Genomic DNA, 16,121 nt, shown 5'->3' on the forward strand with positions numbered 1-16,121 from the left:
TTTATTGAATACCTATGAGCCAAATCCTGTGCTCAGTGTGCCCCTCACTAGTTCCTGTCCTGTTTAGTTGAGTGGAGGGTATAGGTACAGGGAATTATAAAATACTTCAACACAACAAAATTCCACTGCTGTGGAATTACAAACAAGATTTTGTCTACTTTCGGTGCCCAAAGGAAGACGAATAATCCAGCAGGTGGCAGCAGGGAAACAATTATCTTAGATCTTCATAAGGGAGGAGTAGAAGGCTGCAGTAAATGCATGGGGATTTTTTTTTTTTTTTTTTTTTGAGTTGGAGTTTCGCTCTTGTTGCCCAGGCTGGAGTGCAAAGGCGCCATCTCGGCTCACCGAAACGTCTGCCTCCCAGGTTCAATCAATTCTCCTGCCTCAGCCTCCGGCGTAGCGAGTAGCTGGGATTACAGGAATGCTCCACTACGCCTGGGTAATTTTGTATTTTTAGTAGAGACGGCGTTTCTCCATGTTGGTCAGGCTGGTCTTGAACTCCCGACCTCAGGTGATCCGCCCGCCTCGGCCTCCCAAAGTGCTGGGCTTACAGGCGTGAGCCACTGCGCCCGGCCTTTTTTTTTTTTTTTTTGAGACTGAGTTTCGCTCTCGTTGCCCAGGCTGGAGTGCAATGGCGCGATCTTGGCTCACTGCAACCTCTGCCTCCTGGGTTCAAGCGATTCTCCTGCCTCAGCCTCCCGAGTAGCAGGGATTACAGGCACCCGCCACCACGCCCAGCTAATTTTTTGTATTTTTAGTAGAGACGCGGTTTCACTATGTTGGCCAGGCTTGTCTCGTACTCCTGAGCTCAGATGATCCACCTACCTCGGCCTCCCAAAGTGCTGGAATTTCAGGCGTGAGCCACGGCGCCCGGCCTGCATGGGGATATTCTATGGATGTTCGGGTCCTAGGTTACTTTATGAGGACCCACAAGACATCTGGAAAGAGGATAACCAGGTCATTCTGGGGGTTACAAAACCTGTTTTTTTTGTTTGTTTGTTTTGTTTTGTTTTGAGACAGTTTCGCTCTGTCGTCCAGGCTAGAGTGCAGTGGCGCGATCTCCGCTCACTGCAAGCTCCGCCTCCCAGGTTCATGCCATTCTCCTGCCCCAGGCTCCCGAGTAGCCTGGGACTACAGGCGCCCGCCACCACGCCCGGCTAATTTTTTGTATTTTTAGTAGAGACGGGGTTTCACCGTGTTAGCCAGGATGGTCTCGATCTCCTGGCCTCGTGATCCACCCGCCTCGGCCTCCCAGAGTGCTGGGATTACAGGCGTGAGCCACCGCGCCCGGCCACAAAACCTGTTTTAATGGAGTTATTTCATGGGCCATGAGTTTGAGAGGATCTATCTGACCGACTCTTACCCCGAATGTTTTACCATTCCTCTTTATTTATTCATTCCACAGATAATTATGGAGCCCCTACTATGTACGAAGTCACTGGAGGAGCTGGAGATACAAGAGTGAACCAAACACAGTCCTTGCTCCCCAGAAGTTTTACAGTCTGCTCAGAGAGACTGGTCTTCCCACCAGGGTTCATAGCCTACGGGGTACTTTGTTAAAAACGAGCAGTTACTACGAAGACTACAATGGGAGAAATTTTTCTGTGTATCTCCATGCCCTTTGGAGCACAGATAATTGACAGTTGGAGGCTAAAGGGGTTGGGTCGCGGGAAGGTTGTGATAAGTCCCTGATAGCCTCCCGTGCCCTTTTTTGACAGGTCTTCACTGATTCATGCATCAAATATTTACTGAACTCCGTCACTGTGCAGTGCCTAACTTTGTGCTTGAGGCAAACAAAACACAGATCTATTTCGAATGCCATTCCGAGGAAGGTAAGACATGCACGCACGTTTAATCAAATAGTAAACAAGAGTAGTAAAACAGGAAAAAGACTAAGAAGAGTTCTTGGTGGTATTAAATGTTTTGTGATATTCGACACCTTAACGTCTCTGACTTGACACCAGTACTCCCGCAGAGAGTTCTTTCCTGGGTTAGGAATTTCAGAGGACTTGGCGGACCGACTCTTGTCCCGAGTTCAGATCACTCGACCCAGTCCTAGCAAAGAACTGAACCTAAGAGGACCTGCCGAGCCACCGTAGGGACTGTCGGCCAACCCGCGCGCGCACATCTTCCACCCGTGGACTCGTCAGGGCGTGAGGACCCACCTCACGTGACCATTAGCAGCCTCCCGATTGGTTTTGCTCCTTTTTTCTCCCCAATGAGTGGGCTGATGCCCCGAGAAGGTCGGGCGCATGCGCAGTGCTCGGATTTTTTGCTTGGCTACCCGGAGTGAAGCGGCCGGGTTGGGCGATTAACAGGCCGTGGTTAGGAAGGACGGAGAAGGGGCGTTCGCTCCTTTGGGACTTTTCATGCCTCGTTTTTTTTTCAGATGTGGCTTGGTCTGGGCGCAAGGTCCCAGCAGCCAGCTTAAGCTTACTCTTCTGTGAAAGGGGAAAGTATCCCCTGTGGAAAGCGGTTAAACTTGTGGAGGGGGTGCGGGACGTGAGTTCTTCCCCATGCCAGGCGAATGGTGTGGCCTTGAGCTGGTCCAGGAGCCGGCTCGACGTGTCTGAGGGAGGCCCCGGAGGGGGCGGGGAGGTGGCCCACAGAACGCGGGTTCTGTAAAGAGACGTTGGGAAGATTCGATTCCGAGAAGAGGAAGAACCGGATTGAAAGAGAGCCAGGCCGCTGAGGGGGAGGGGGCTGCTAAGATGGCGTCGGCCTCCTCCGGGCCGTCGTCTTCGGTCGGTTTTTCATCCTTTGATCCCGCGGTCCCTTCCTGTACCTTGTCCTCAGGTAAGCCCGGCAGGGCGTGGGTAGGGAGCTGGTGAGGAATATGCGATGGGAGGAAGAGCGAGACCTAAGAGGGTACCTGTAGCTGGGAATGTCCTACGTGTTACCGGTAAGTGGGCGCGAGCTGGGCTTTCAAATAGGGATTTATGAGCGGGCAGGAGTTTGAGGAAAGGATAAGTTTGATTAAGAAGTTGTCGAAAACTTTGGTTGTCTTTGAGGAGGACGGATGGAGATTGAAGGTGGGGGTAGGGTGGCCCGGCGCGGTGGCTCACGCCTGTAATCTCAGCACTTTGGGAGGCCTTGGCGGGCGGATCATTTGAGGTCAGAAGTTCGAGACGAGCCTGGCCAACATAGAGAAATCTCGTCCCTACTAAAAATACAAAAATTATCCGGACAGTAGTGGCGTGCATCTGTAATCCCAGCTACTTGGGAGGCTGAGGCAGGATAATCCCTTGAGCCTGGGAGGCAGAGCTTGCGGTGAGCCGAGATTGGGCCACTGCTCTCCAGTCTGGGCGAGAGAGTGAGACCCTGTCTCAAAAAAAAAAAAAAAGAAGTTGCGGTAGGAAACAAGAGAAACGGAAGGGAGTAGAGAAACTAAGAAAGTAAATGGAGGCCTAAGAAGTAGAGAGAACTACTTAGTGTGAGAGGCAGGTGGAATCTAAGTTGATTGTGGGCTAATTGGATGAAAATGTTGAAGAGAAGCCATGGGACTTAAAAGATATCGAAAAGTTATTGGACGCTTTCGATTTCTGGAGAGGTAGGGAATCGTGAATTTTGTTGGGTGGGCGGGAGTTGTTGAAGCCATCTTTTCCCTCAGATACTCCCCCCTAATGTGTCACCCCTTCTCACTTCGCACCCCCACCCTTAGGGCCGCACAGGCACACAGACACACATACATACTTTCTCAGACTAATTCCTTTGGTGATTCCCAACTCTAAACTGCCCAACTTTGGGAAGGAATGGAAATTTTGAAGAGAGTCTAAGGAATGTAGGAAATTAAGGTCAAAGACCTTAAAAACAGATGGGAAAGATGGAATGGAGTCTTGAATTGCAGTAGAGACTGCGAGAAGTGATGTTTTGGAAATTAGGCCTGAGAAGAAGAAAGATGGGTGGGGGGGTGACTGTAAGTGTTGTGGGGGAGTATTGCATAATAGAAAAATGGACTGGAAGAATGCTTACGCTGTATCAGGAGATTGGAATTTGGAGAATGGAGCCAGGTTAATGTAGAGAGCTCAGCGTATTAATAGTTAAAAACGAATGAAGATTGAGGGAGGGCTGAGGAGGCTCACAAGAAAAGCAGTAGATTGTGTGTAGGGGAGAAAGTGTGTGTATGTGTGTCGGGTGGGGGGGCGGGAGGTGAGTCAGAAACTGAGCGCTTCCATCAGAAGTGTCTGGTGTTTCACAGTAACTGCTGCTTCTACACTGGAATAGACGCTGCCAGATGTTGGATGCTTTGCTTGAGATTTTGGTATTTCCTCAGGCCTGGTGTTGCGTTTTTGCTGTTTAGAATTTGCTGAATAGGGTTCCTTCCACCTTTCACATTCCAGCTCAGATGCTGAAATATCTAGTCACACATATCTTCTTAATAAGCTGCAGTTTTATTTATTTTTAATAAATCTCTATTTTTAGTTTGTTGAGAGGGGATTTTTTACCTTTCCTATAAAAGTATTAGGGGACCAGAACAACTCATGCTGCATTATAAGCATGAAATAGGATAAAGTAAAAGTGACAGGGTATTTATTTATTTATTTATTTATTTATTTATTTTTGAGACGGAGTCTCGCTCTGTCGCCCAGGCTGGAGTGCAGTGGGGCCATCTCGGCTCACTGCAAGCTCTGCCTCCCGGGTTCACGCCATTCTTTTGCCTCAGCCTCCCGAGTAGCTGGGACTACAGGCGCCCACCACCACGCCTGGCTAATTTTGTTTTTTGTATTTTTAGTAGAGACGGGGTTTCACCGTGTTAGCCAGGATGGTCTCGATCTCCTGACCCTGTGATCCGCCCGCCTTGGCTTCCCAAAGTGCTGGGATTATAGGCGTGAGCCACCGTGCCCCACCTGGGTTTTTATTTTTAATAGAGTAGCTCCTTAATTTGAAACCTGCTTCCCCTCTAATCCCCAACCCAGAAAGAAGAAGGGTTGTGTATGGTCCATAAACAAACTTCTCAACTATTAAGTCAGGTGTTTGCTTTGTACTCTTTGGTATTTTTGTAGGTCTTTATGTTTTCTGTCAGATCCTCTCACTAACAGTTAATAATACAGATTGTATAAATGTTTTTGTGGTTTTTTTTTTGAGACAGAGTATCATTCTGTCACCCAGGCTGGAGTGCAGTGGTGCCATCTTGGCTTACTGCAACCTCTGCCTCCCAGCTTCGAATGAGTCTCCTGACTCAGTCTCCCAAGTAGCTGGGAATACAGGCATGTGCCATCATGCCTGGCTATTTTATTTTTTTGTGTTTTTAGTAGTGATGGGGTTTCATCATGTCAGCCAGACTAGTCTTGAACTCCTGACCTCAAGTAATCCGCCCACTTCGGCCTCCAAAAATGCTGGGATTACAGGCATATCGCAAGGTCAGGAGTTCGAGACCAGCCTGGCCAACATGGTGAAACCCCATCTCTACTAAAAAATACAAAAAAATTAGCCAGGCATGTTGGCGCAGGCCTGTAATCCCAGCTACTTAGGAGGCTGAGTCAGGAGAATTGCTTGAACCCGGGAGGCAGAGGTTGCAGTGAGCCGAGATCACACCACTGCACTCCAGTCTGGGTGACAGAGCAAGACTCTGTCTCAAAACAAAAAAAAGGGGGCAAAAAGTGGCTAAATTTCAAGCTCTTGATGGACTATGGAAAGATTATAATGGCCTCCACCAAATCCAAACATGGTAATTGCTCCAATAGCAAAAGTAGTTAAACATCTCTTAGAGCTTATGGTTTGCTTTACTCTGTGTATTTCACTTGTCAACAGTGTAAAAGCTGACAGCTTAATGGTGAAACTATCTTTAATATTGGCAGGGAACAAACTCTCCTAAATAACCTCTCCTTCCCAATTTAAATGCCAGAAGATTGGGAGTGCCTAGAAGTTGTGAGTGGCTTATCAAAAACTGTCAATATGTCCTTGGCTATGACATTTTTGTTTTATATCCATTTTCAGCATTGTCAGAGAACATTGTCCTTTAGGATTTCAGAGTTTCACCAAAACTTAAGTGGAGTTCAGCTAAACAGCTAAGAACAGTAAATGGTTTTAGGGTGGTTGACACGCACACTTCTTGAATTTCTACAGGGCCAGCCTTCTAGCCTTTAACAATTCAGGAAATCATAAACCATCACTTGTTCCTGCCAACTTCCTAATTCCTCTGGTACCATGCAGACAAAGAAACACTCTCTTCCAATCGCAAATAAAATCTTTTTTCTCTTTTTTTAGGTGGACTCTTGCTCTTGTCACCCAGGCTGGAGTGCAGTGGGGTGATCTTGGCTCATTGCAGCCTCAGCCTCCCGGGTTCAAGCGAGTTGCCTGCTCAGCCTCCCAAGTAACAGATTACAGGCACCTGCCACCACATCTGACTAATTTTTGTATTTTAGTAGAGACAGGGTTTCACCATGTTGGCCAGGCTGGTCTCAAACTCCTGACCTCAGGTGATCCACCCATCTCGGGCTCCCATAGTGCTGGGATTACAGGCGTGAGCCACCATGCCCTGCCAGTAAAGTCTTTTTTTTTTTTTGAGAGGGAGTCTCTCTCTGTCGCCCAGGCTGGAGTGCGGTGGAGCAATCTTGGCTCACTGCAGCCTCAGCCTCTAGAGTTCAAGCGATTCTCCTGCTTCAGCTTCCCAAGTAACTGAGATTACAGGCACCTGCCACGTCTGGCTAATTTTTGTATTTTAGTAGAGATCAGATTTCACCATGTTAGTCAGGCTGGTCTCAAACTCCTGACCTCAGGTGATCCTCTCGCCTCAGCCTTGCAAAGTGCTGAGGTACATACAGGCTTTAGCCGCCGCCGCTGGCCTTACTTTATGCCCTTTTTACCACCATGAGGAGAGTAAAGAATTTCTGTCTTGGAGGCTTGATTTGAAGTTAGTGGTTGGGTTAGAAGGGATAGGATACTAAGGTGTACACTGCTCCTATGAAATAAGAGTTGTGGAGTAAAATCATGTGTGACTTCCTCAAGGAAAAGCACTTGAGGCTGGGTACAATGGCTCACACCTATATTCTCAGCACTTTGGGAGGCCAAGGCAGGCGGATCACCTGAGGTCAGGAGTTTGAGACCAGCCTGGCCAACATGGTGAAACCCTGTCTCTGCTAAAAATACAAAAATTAGCCGGGTGTGGTGGCAGGCACCTGTAATCCCAGCTACTCAGGAGGCTGAGGCAGGAGAATTGCTTGAACCCGGGGGACAGAGGTTGCAATGAGTCAAGATCACACCATTGCATTCCAGCCTGGGGGACAAGAGTGAAACTCCATCTCAAAAAAAAAAAAAAGGCCAGGAGCAGTAGCTCACGCCTGTAATCCCAGCACTTTGGGAGGCCGAGGTGGGCGGATCACAAGCTCAAGAGATGGAGACCATCCTAACCAACGTGGTGAAACCCCGTCTCTACTAAAAATACAAAAATTAGCTAGTCATGGTGGCACACTCCTGTAGTCCCAGCTACTCGGAAGGCTGAGGCAGGAGAATTGCTGGAACCCAGGAGGCGCGGGTTGCAGTGAGCTGAGATCACGCCACTGTACTCCATCCTGGAGACAGAGTGAGACTCTGTCTCAAAAAAAAAAAAAAGAAAAAAGAAAAGCACTTAAACCCTAGATAATCATGAGCTGTGTAGTTCCTTTTGCTTCAGACTAGAACATTTTTAAAATGGTCATCGCTCACCTATATGATTTTATCATGTGCACAAATGATTTAGACATAACTTTACAGCTGCTTACCTGACTTTTTCTCCCCCTTAACGGCTCAGGGAGATCCAGAGGATACAGTATTGGAGCATTTTTGCTTGGGACTTTTATAGTAGGGACAGCTTCATCAGTCTGTGATTCTGATTGCTTTGTTCTTCCCAGCAGAGCCCTACCTGTAACCTGCAGTAATCTGTTAACTCCAGTAGTAGGGATTATTGTTGATATATATATATATTTTTTTGAGATGGAGTTTCGCTCTTGTTGCCCTGGTTGGAGTGCAATGGCGCGATCTCGGCTCACTGTAACCTCTGCCTCTGGGGTTTGAGTGATTCTCCTGCCTCTGCCTCCTGAGTAGGTGGGATTACAGGCACCCGCCAACACGCCCGGCTAATTTTTGTATTTTTAGTAGAGACGGGGTTTCGCCATGTTGGCCAGGCTAGTCTCAAACTCCTGATCTCAGGTGATCTGCCCACTTCAGCCTCCCAAAGTGCTGGTATTACAGGCGTGAGCCGCCACGCCCGGCCTGTGGATGTTTTTTTGATCTGTGTTCTGTTGTGTACAGTGTAAGCCATTTGTAGGCTGATTTCTTTCCTAGTTCTTCCTCTTAGTGAAAAGTAAAGCAGTTTAGATCATGTTGAATGATAAACTGAAATTTAGAAATGCAAACATAGAATACAATGTCAGAATATCACCAGGTGCCATTTTGGTTGATATTTTATAAATAGGGAGATATTTTTCTGTTTACTCTCCATAGGGATTTTGACACTTTCCACCCACCCCTTTTTCCTTTTGTCACCTTGGTATATTCTGCCAGAAAACTGACATCAGAATGTCATTGCTTCTGATCGATTTATTTCTGCCATGACACTCAAGCCCATTGTCAGTTATAATTAACTAGTCTAATAGGTATCCAGTTTCTGATATTAATTGATAATGTGTACTTACACGTTAGCGTTGAATATCAAAATAGTACGTTTTGCTTATTAATGTCTGTGGGCTTTTTTAGGTTAATTTAAAACTCTTCTGATTAATACCTTTGCTCAAATATGTGCTACCTAATAGCTATTAAATATTTTATTAGCCTGTTTTTCTTGGATAATAAAGTGGAAACTATAGCCTGTGAAGTGAACAACAGAGATAATACCAGGCCAGCTAGCAAACTGGGGAGAGGGAAGGTGGTAATTTTATCCTTTAAATTGTTCTCTCCTAGAATGTTATTTATTATTTTTTTGAGACAGAGTCTTGCTCTGTCGCCCAGGCTACAGACCAGTGTAGTGCAGTGGTGCGATCTTGGCTCACTGCAGCCCTTGCCTCCCAGGTTCAAGCGATTCTCCTGCCTCAGCCTCCTAGGTCACTAGGATCACAGGCGTGCGCCACCACGCCCAGATAATTTTTGTATTTTTAGTAGAGGCGGGGTTTCCCCATGTTGGCCAGGCTGGCCTTGAACTCCTGGCCTCAAGCGATCCTCCTGCCTTGGCTTCCCAAAGTTCTGAGATTACAGGCGTGAGCTACTGCCCGGCCTCTCTCCTAGAATTTTGGAGCATTCTTACTTGACGTAAAGAAGGGAACAAGAGCCGGGCATGGTGACTCACGCCTGTAATGCCAGCACTTTGGGAGGCCAAGGCAGGTGGATCACCTGAGGTCAGGAGTTCCAGACCAGCCTGGCGAAACCCTGTCTCTACAAAAAATACAAAAATTAGTCAGACGTGGTGGCGTGCTCGTGTAATCCCAGCTGCTAGGGAGGCTGAGTCAAGAGAATCACTTGAACCCAGGAGGCGGAGGTTGCAGTGAGCTTAGAGTGCACTACTGCACTCCAGCCAGGGCAACAGAGCAAGACTCCGTCTCAAAAAAAAGAAAAGGGAACAAGAAAACTTATCAGTTTATTTTTCTTTCTTCTTTTTACTGGGTTTCCTTGATCAAGGACAAAAGTGTACTTCAAGAATATACTCTTTCCTGATGGCCAGGTAGAGAGGGAATCTTTGTTTTTCTGTGCTCCATACCCAGCCCAGAGAGACTGAATGAAACACCGATGGTGTTTCCTAGAGGAAACCCTAAGAAGCCCGTTTCCCCTATTGCACCTCACTTCTCTGCCCTTTCCCATCTAAACAGAGAATTTAATTTCGACATATGTTTATCCTGTTTTGTTCATATCTCCTACAAGCTTTTATTCTTTTACTGTTTTCTATTTGAAGTGAACTTTTTTCCCTCAACCCCTCCATCTTTTTAAACTGTCTCCATTTTTCTTTATTCTCCTGTGAAATTTCAGTCTGTTTATTTGTAATGGTTGTATTCAGTATGTATTAATTTACAAATATCTAATTCCTGGAAAATCTCTCTTGTTGGAATCTGAGGAAGACATTGGCAAAAAGAGAGGAAGGTAGGTCTGTTGTAGGGAGTTCAGCATATTCTTATTATTTACCTTGTATACTTAACTGAGCAATATGGAAGTAATCCAGAATAAGCTGTCCAAAAAGATTAGAGATATTGGTTGGGGGTGGGCAAAGGGGAGGTGAGCAAAGGAAGTTGGCGAGAGGGAATGAGAAGAGGGTTTTTTGTTCTTGTTTGTTTGTTTTTAGGATATTTAATTAGAGTATATTAATACTTTTTTTGTTTTGTTTTGTTTTGTTTTTTGAGGCGGAGTTTCACTCTTTTGCCCAGGCTGGAGTGCAGTGGTGGGATCTCAGCTCTCTGCAACCTCCACCTCCCGGGTTGAAGCGATTCACCAGCCTCAGCCTCCCAAGAAGCTGGGACTACAGGCACGTGCCACCACATCCGGCTAATTTTTGTACTTTCAGTAGAGACAGGGTTTCACCATGCTGGCCAGGCTGGTCTCTAACCCCTGACCTCAGGTGATCTGCCCACCTCAGCCTCCCAAAGTGCTGGGATTATAGGCGTGAGCCACCTTCCCGGCTATTTTTGTATTTTTAGTAGAGACGGGGTTTCGCCATGTTCGCCAGGCTGGTCTCGAACTTCTGACCTCAGGCGACCCTCACTGCAACCTTCGCCTGCTGGGTTCAAGCGATTCTCCTGTCTTAGCCTCCCTAGTAGCTGGGATTACAGGTACACACCAACATGCCTAGCTAATTTTTGTATTTTTAGTAGAGATGAGGTTTCACCATGTTGGCCAGGCTGATCTTGAACTCCTGACCTCAAGTGATCTGCCCGCCTTGGCCTCCCAAAGTGCTGGGATTACAGGCGTGAGCCACCGCGCCTGGTCTGAAATATGTTCATTTTAATCCAGCAGAATTCATTGCTGTTTCAAGATAGAACCAGATTTGGAAATAAAATTGGAAGGTGGCTATCTGCCAAAAATTTCAAGTGCCTCTTGGCCATGGGTAGCTTATTCAGGAAACCCAAGTCTTTTAAGGAAGGACTTGGATTTTTTTCTTAATTTCAAAGAACGTTTTTGTGCCAAGGGATACATATTTGAGGTCTGAGAACCATGAAACTTGTTTGTAGGATTAGAAGCAAAAGTTGACTAGAGGGAAATGTAGAGTTATTTTAATTTAACTCCCTCATTTTCCAAATTAGGAAACTGAGGTAAAGATGTTGCATAAAGGCTGTATGTTACCAAGATTAATCTTTTTTTTTTTTTTTGAGATGGAGTCTCGCTCTGTCCCTCAGGCTGGAGTGCAGTGGCGTGATCTCGGCTCACTGTGACCTCTGTCTTCCAGGTTCAAGTGATTCTGCTTCCTCAGCCTCCCAAGTAGCTGGGATTACAGGCGCACGCCACCACGCCTGGCTAATTTTTGTATTTTTAGCAGAGTCAGGGTTTCACCATGCTGGCCAGGCTGGTCTTGAACTCCTGACCTCGTGATCTGCCTGCATCGGCCTCCCAAAGTGCTGGGATGATTACGGGCATGAGGCACCACACCTGGCCATCAAGATTAATCTTAATAAATATGTTGCTCCTTCTTTTTTTTTTTTTTGAGACAGAGTTTCGCTCTTGCTGCCCAGTCTGGAGTGCAGTGGTGCGATCTTGGCTCACTGCATCCTCCTCCTCCTGAGTTCAAGTGATTCCCCTGCTTCCCTAGTAGCTGGGATTACAGGCACATGCCACCACGCCTGGCTAATTTTTGTATTTTTAGTAGAAATGGGGTTTCTCCATGTTGGGTCAGGCTGTTCTCGAACTCCTAACTTCAGCTGATCCACCTGCCTTGGCCTCCCAAAGTGCTGGGATTACAGGTGTGAGCCACCGGGCCCAGCTGGCTCATTCTTTGATATACTGCTTTTAATTGGCTATTAGCTGAGGTGACCCCAGGACTGGTAGATCAAATTGCTTTCAAGCTTTTGTTTCTAGGGACATCCTTGCACTTCTGACTGTTTCCTAGAAGAGCGTTAGGAAAAATTTACACCAGCTAAGAAACAAAATTTAGCTTTTCTCTGAAATGTGGCTTGGTTTTCTTTTCTTTTTTTTTTTTTTTTGGAGATGGAGTCTCACTCTGTCGCCTAGGCTGGAGTGCAGTGGTGCAATCTTGGGTCACTGCAAGCTCCACTTCCCGCTTTCAAGCGATTCCCCTGCCTCAGCCTCCTGAGTATCTGGGATTACAGGCGCACACCACCACGCCCAGCTAATTTTTGTATTTTTAGTAGAGACGGGGTTTCACCATGTTGGTCAGGCTGGTCTCGAACTCCTGACTTTGGCATCCACCTGCCTCAGCCTCCCAAAGTGCTGGGATTACAAGTGTGAGCCACTGCGTCCGGCCGTGGCTTGGTTTTCTTAATTTGCTTGATCCAGTCATTATTAAGGATGTTGTAATGGTACGCTTTTTTTTTTTTTTTTTTTTTTTTTTTTTTGGAGACGGAGTCTTGCTCTGTTGCCCAGGCTGGGGTGCACTGGTGCAATCTCGGCTGACTGCAAGCTCCGCCTCCTGGGTTCACGCCATTCTCTTGCCTCAGCCTCCCGAGTAGCTGGGACTACAGGCGCCTGCTACCACGCCCGGCTAACTTTTTGTATTTTTTTTGGTGGGGGTGTTTCACCGTGTTAGCCAGGATGGTCTCGATCTTCTGACCTGGTGATCTGCCTGCCTCGGCCTCCCAAGGTGCTGGGATTACAGGCGTGAGCCACTGCGCCTGGCCGCTTTTTTTTTTTTTGAACACACTTCCTTAGAGCTATGTGTTCAGCAGTACTTCTCAGGAGGCAGGTTGACATTTCAAGAGTATTTTCAGTTGAAGAACAATTTGTGTCTCCCACCTGCAGGCGTATAGAGTGTCTTTCAGTATTCCAAGTTAACTAGGACCAGAGAGATTGCCTCAGATAATCCAGCAAATAACTGGGTAGATTTTGTTTTTGTTCTATTATATTGTAAGGGATCTTGCTTTTTTTCTTTCCCCCGCCCAAGACAGAGTCTTGCTCTGTCGCCCAGGCTGGAGTGCAGTGGCACGATGCCATCTCACTGCAACCTCCGCCTCCTGGGTTCAAGCAATTCTGCCTTAGCCTCTCTAGTAGCTGGGATTACAGGCGCGTGCCACCATGCCTGGCTAATTTTTTTTTTTTTTTTTTTGAGATGGAGTTTTGCTCTTGTCGCCCAGGCTGGAGTGCAATGGCATGATCTCTGCTCACCGCAACCTCTGCCTCCCAGGTTCAAGCAATTCTCCTGTCTCAGCCTCCTGAGTAGCTGGGATTACAGGTATGCGCCACCATACCTGGCTAATTTTGTATTTTTGGTAGAGATGGGGTTTCTCCATGTTGGTCAGGCTGGTCTTGAACTCCTGACCTCAGGTGATCCGCCCACCTCAGCCTCCCAAAGTGCTGGGATTACAGGTGTGAGCCACCGTGCCCCGCCTGTATTGTTAGTAGAGACGGGGTTTCACCATGTTGGCCAGGCTGGTCTTGAACTCCTAATCCTAACCTCGTGATCTGCCCACCTCAGCCTTCCAAAATGCTGGAGTTACAGGCGTGAGTCACCACGACTAGCCTGCATTTTTTTTTCTTTCTTTTTTCTGAGATGGAGTCTTGCTCTGTTGCCCAGGCTGATTGATGTGCAGTGGTGCAATCTTAGCTCACTGCAATCTCTGCCTCCTGGGTTCAAGAGATTCTTGTGCCTCTGCCTCTCGAGTAGCTGGGATTATAGGTGCCCGCCACCGTGTCTGGCTAATTTTTGTATTTTCAGTAGAGACGGGGTTTTGCCATGTTAGCCAGGTTGGTCTCGAACTCCTGACCTCAGGTGATCTGCCTGCTTCCGCCTCCCAAAGTGCTGGGATTACAGGTGTGAGCCACTGCGCCCGCCCTCCCCGGCCCCCCCACTTTTTTTTTTCCTCGAGACTGGATCTCACTCTGTCATCCAGGGTGGTGTGCAATGGCATGATGATAGCTCACTGTAGCCTCAAACTCCTGGGCTGAAGTGATCCTCCCACCTCAGCCTACTCAGGATTACAGGCATGGGCCACCACACTGCTGTTTTTTTTTTTTTCTTAAGTAGAGACAGTCTCATCATATTGCTCAGTCGATCTCAAACTCCTGGCCTAAAGCGATCCTCCTGTCTCAGCCTCTCAAAGTGCTGGAATTACAGGCATGAGCCACCCTGCTTGGTGTGGCGCTCCATCTTTATCAACCAAAAGTCCACTGAGAGTTAGCATTTTAATTCCAAAAAAGCTGCTTATCTCTTTGTGCTCTATGTAGGAACTATTGACATACATATATATTTTTTGAGATGGAGTCTCGCTCTGTTGCCCAGGCTGGAGTGTAGTGGCATGATCTGGGCTCACTGCAGCCTCCCGTCTCCTGGGTTCAAGTGATTCTCCTGCCTCAGCCTCCCGAGTAGTCGGGATTACAGGTGTGCGCCACCATGCCCGGCTAATTTTTTTGTATTTTTAGTAGAGACGGGTTTTGCCATGTTGACCAGGCTGGTTTTGATCTCCTGACCTCAGGTGATCTACCTGCCTCAGCCTCCCAAAGTGCTGGGATTACAGTCATGAGCCATTGTGCCCGGGCTTATTGACATATTTATGTAGTAGTGTTGGTAGGCAATTAAATTGGACCTCAGGGATTGTTTCCCTATGACCTGTTTGGGCAAAACTCCAGTTGTCTGAGGAATGCATATCTGGCTAGCCTTTAGTGTCCCCAAATTATATGTTTATTTCAAACATTAGAGTCAGTCACACACTGCTTCTTGGTTTCTCATCAGTAGATGATGTCATTGCATCTCTGACAGAAATGCTTCTGCTCTGAAAGTGCAGGGAGAGGCTGTGCTATTAAGGCCAACTCTGTTTTGTTCCACACACTAGAGTGAGGAGAACTCATTTCAGAATTATTTGGGCACAGTGGTTTCCACCTGTAGTCCCAGCACTTTGGGGGGCTGAGGCAGGCAGATTGCTTGAGCTCAGGAGTTTGAAACCAGCCTGGGTAACATAGTGAAACCCTGTCTCTACAAAAAATATAAAAATTAGCTGGGCATGGCGATGTGTGCCTGTAGTCCCAGCTACTCTGGAGTCTGAGGGGAGAATCACTTGAACCTGAGAGGTTGAGGCTGCAGTAAGCTGTGTTCCTGCCACTGCCCTCCAGCCTGGGTGACAGAGTGAGACCTTGTCTCAAGACCAAAAAACTTAAAAGATATTTTGTTGGCCAGGCGTGGTGGCTCATGCCTGTAATCCCAGCACTTTGGGAGGCTGAGGCGGGCAGATCACAAGGTCAGGAGATCGAGACCATCCTGGCTAACATGGTGAAACCCCGTCTCTACTAAAAATACAAAAAATTAGCCGGGCGTTGTGGCGGGCGCGTGTAGTCCCAGCTACTCCCAGCTGCTCGGGAGGCTGAGGCGGGAGAATGGCATGAACCCGGGAGGCGGAGCTTGCAGTGAGCCAAGATCGTGCCACTGCACTCCAGCCTGGGCGACAGAGCAAGAGTCTGTCTCAAAAAAGAAAAAAAAAGGCCGGGTGCGGTGGCTCACGCCTGTAATTCCAGCACTTTGGGAGAACGAGGCGGGCGGATCACGAGGTCAGGAGATCGAGACCATCCTGGCTAACGTGGTGAAACCCCGTCTCTACTAAAAACAAAAAATAAAAAAAAAATTAGCTGGGTGTGGTGGCAGGTGCCTGTAGTCCTAGCTATTCGGGAGGCTGAGGTAGGAGAATGGCGTGAATCCGCAAGGCAGAGCTTGCAGTGAGCCAAGATCACGACGCTGCACTCCATCCTGGGTGACAGTGTGAGACTCCGTCTCAAAAAAAAAAAAAGATTTTGTTTACATTATCTCTTCAAGTTATCTCTTAAACATCTTTGTGGCTGGTGCGGTAGCTTAACGCCTGTAATCCCAGCACTTCGGGAGGCCAAAGTGGGTGGATCAGTTGAAGCCAGGAGTTCAAAACCATCTTAAAGTTCAGCTCATTTCTCATTCTGAAGTTTCCTTTTTTCACACTTCTCAGATTATACTGATGGATTTTCACTTCCTTTACATTTTCTCCTTCCTCTCAATAGTGAATATTAGTCTCCAGTGGCTGGGTAGTAGCAAGTAAATT

The 16,121-nt window shown here is 47.4% G+C and overlaps 1 protein-coding gene and 1 long non-coding RNA gene across 52 annotated transcripts in view, besides 4 other annotated features; one reads left to right on the plus strand and one right to left on the minus strand.

The window, feature by feature from the left end:
- PIP5K1A (phosphatidylinositol-4-phosphate 5-kinase type 1 alpha) overlaps positions 1-16,121 on the plus strand; it is a 54,113-nt gene that overhangs the window by 867 nt on the left and 37,125 nt on the right. For 29 of the 51 annotated variants that reach the window (XM_006711567.5, XM_047431698.1, XM_011510049.4 and 26 more), the window contains exon 1: positions 2,267-2,796. Coding sequence is in view for 45 of the 51 variants with exons in the window: in XM_006711563.5 (XP_006711626.1) it covers positions 2,712-2,796 (85 nt within the window). In the remaining 6 variants the exon portion in view is untranslated. Of the gene's footprint in view, positions 1-291; positions 365-1,097; positions 1,833-2,266; positions 2,903-7,520; positions 10,045-16,121 lie in introns of those variants that run through there. The other 22 variants (XM_005245530.6, XM_047431709.1, XM_005245532.5 and 19 more) reach the window with 9 other exon arrangements.
- Positions 1,822-2,240, minus strand: LOC124904419 (uncharacterized). Its single transcript, XR_007066620.1, has 2 exons — positions 2,166-2,240; positions 1,822-2,055 (listed from the first exon to the last, which is right to left on the minus strand). It is a non-coding gene; the product is annotated as an uncharacterized LOC124904419 (long non-coding RNA).
- Positions 2,365-2,564: an enhancer, noted in NCBI's record as "active region_1712". NCBI's record gives its function as "activates an Ori minimal core promoter by ATAC-STARR-seq in GM12878 lymphoblastoid cells {active_cell/tissue: GM12878}" and the evidence as "EXISTENCE:reporter gene assay evidence [ECO:0000049][PMID:35858748]".
- Positions 2,665-2,744: an enhancer, noted in NCBI's record as "active region_1713". NCBI's record gives its function as "activates an Ori minimal core promoter by ATAC-STARR-seq in GM12878 lymphoblastoid cells {active_cell/tissue: GM12878}" and the evidence as "EXISTENCE:reporter gene assay evidence [ECO:0000049][PMID:35858748]".
- Positions 14,274-14,431: a silencer, noted in NCBI's record as "fragment chr1:151183035-151183192 (GRCh37/hg19 assembly coordinates)". NCBI's record gives its function as "represses an EF-1alpha promoter that drives an FKBP-Casp9 reporter gene in an ReSE screen in K562 erythroleukemia cells {active_cell/tissue: K562}" and the evidence as "EXISTENCE:reporter gene assay evidence [ECO:0000049][PMID:32094911]".
- Positions 14,980-15,972: an enhancer, noted in NCBI's record as "H3K27ac-H3K4me1 hESC enhancer chr1:151183741-151184733 (GRCh37/hg19 assembly coordinates)". NCBI's record gives its function as "activates a minimal SCP1, AML or CMV promoter by ChIP-STARR-seq in primed H9 embryonic stem cells {active_cell/tissue: H9 hESC(primed)}" and the evidence as "EXISTENCE:reporter gene assay evidence [ECO:0000049][PMID:30033119]".

This window comes from Homo sapiens, chromosome 1 (genome assembly GCF_000001405.40).
Source record: "Homo sapiens chromosome 1, GRCh38.p14 Primary Assembly".
Taxonomy (NCBI): Eukaryota; Metazoa; Chordata; class Mammalia; order Primates; family Hominidae; genus Homo; species Homo sapiens.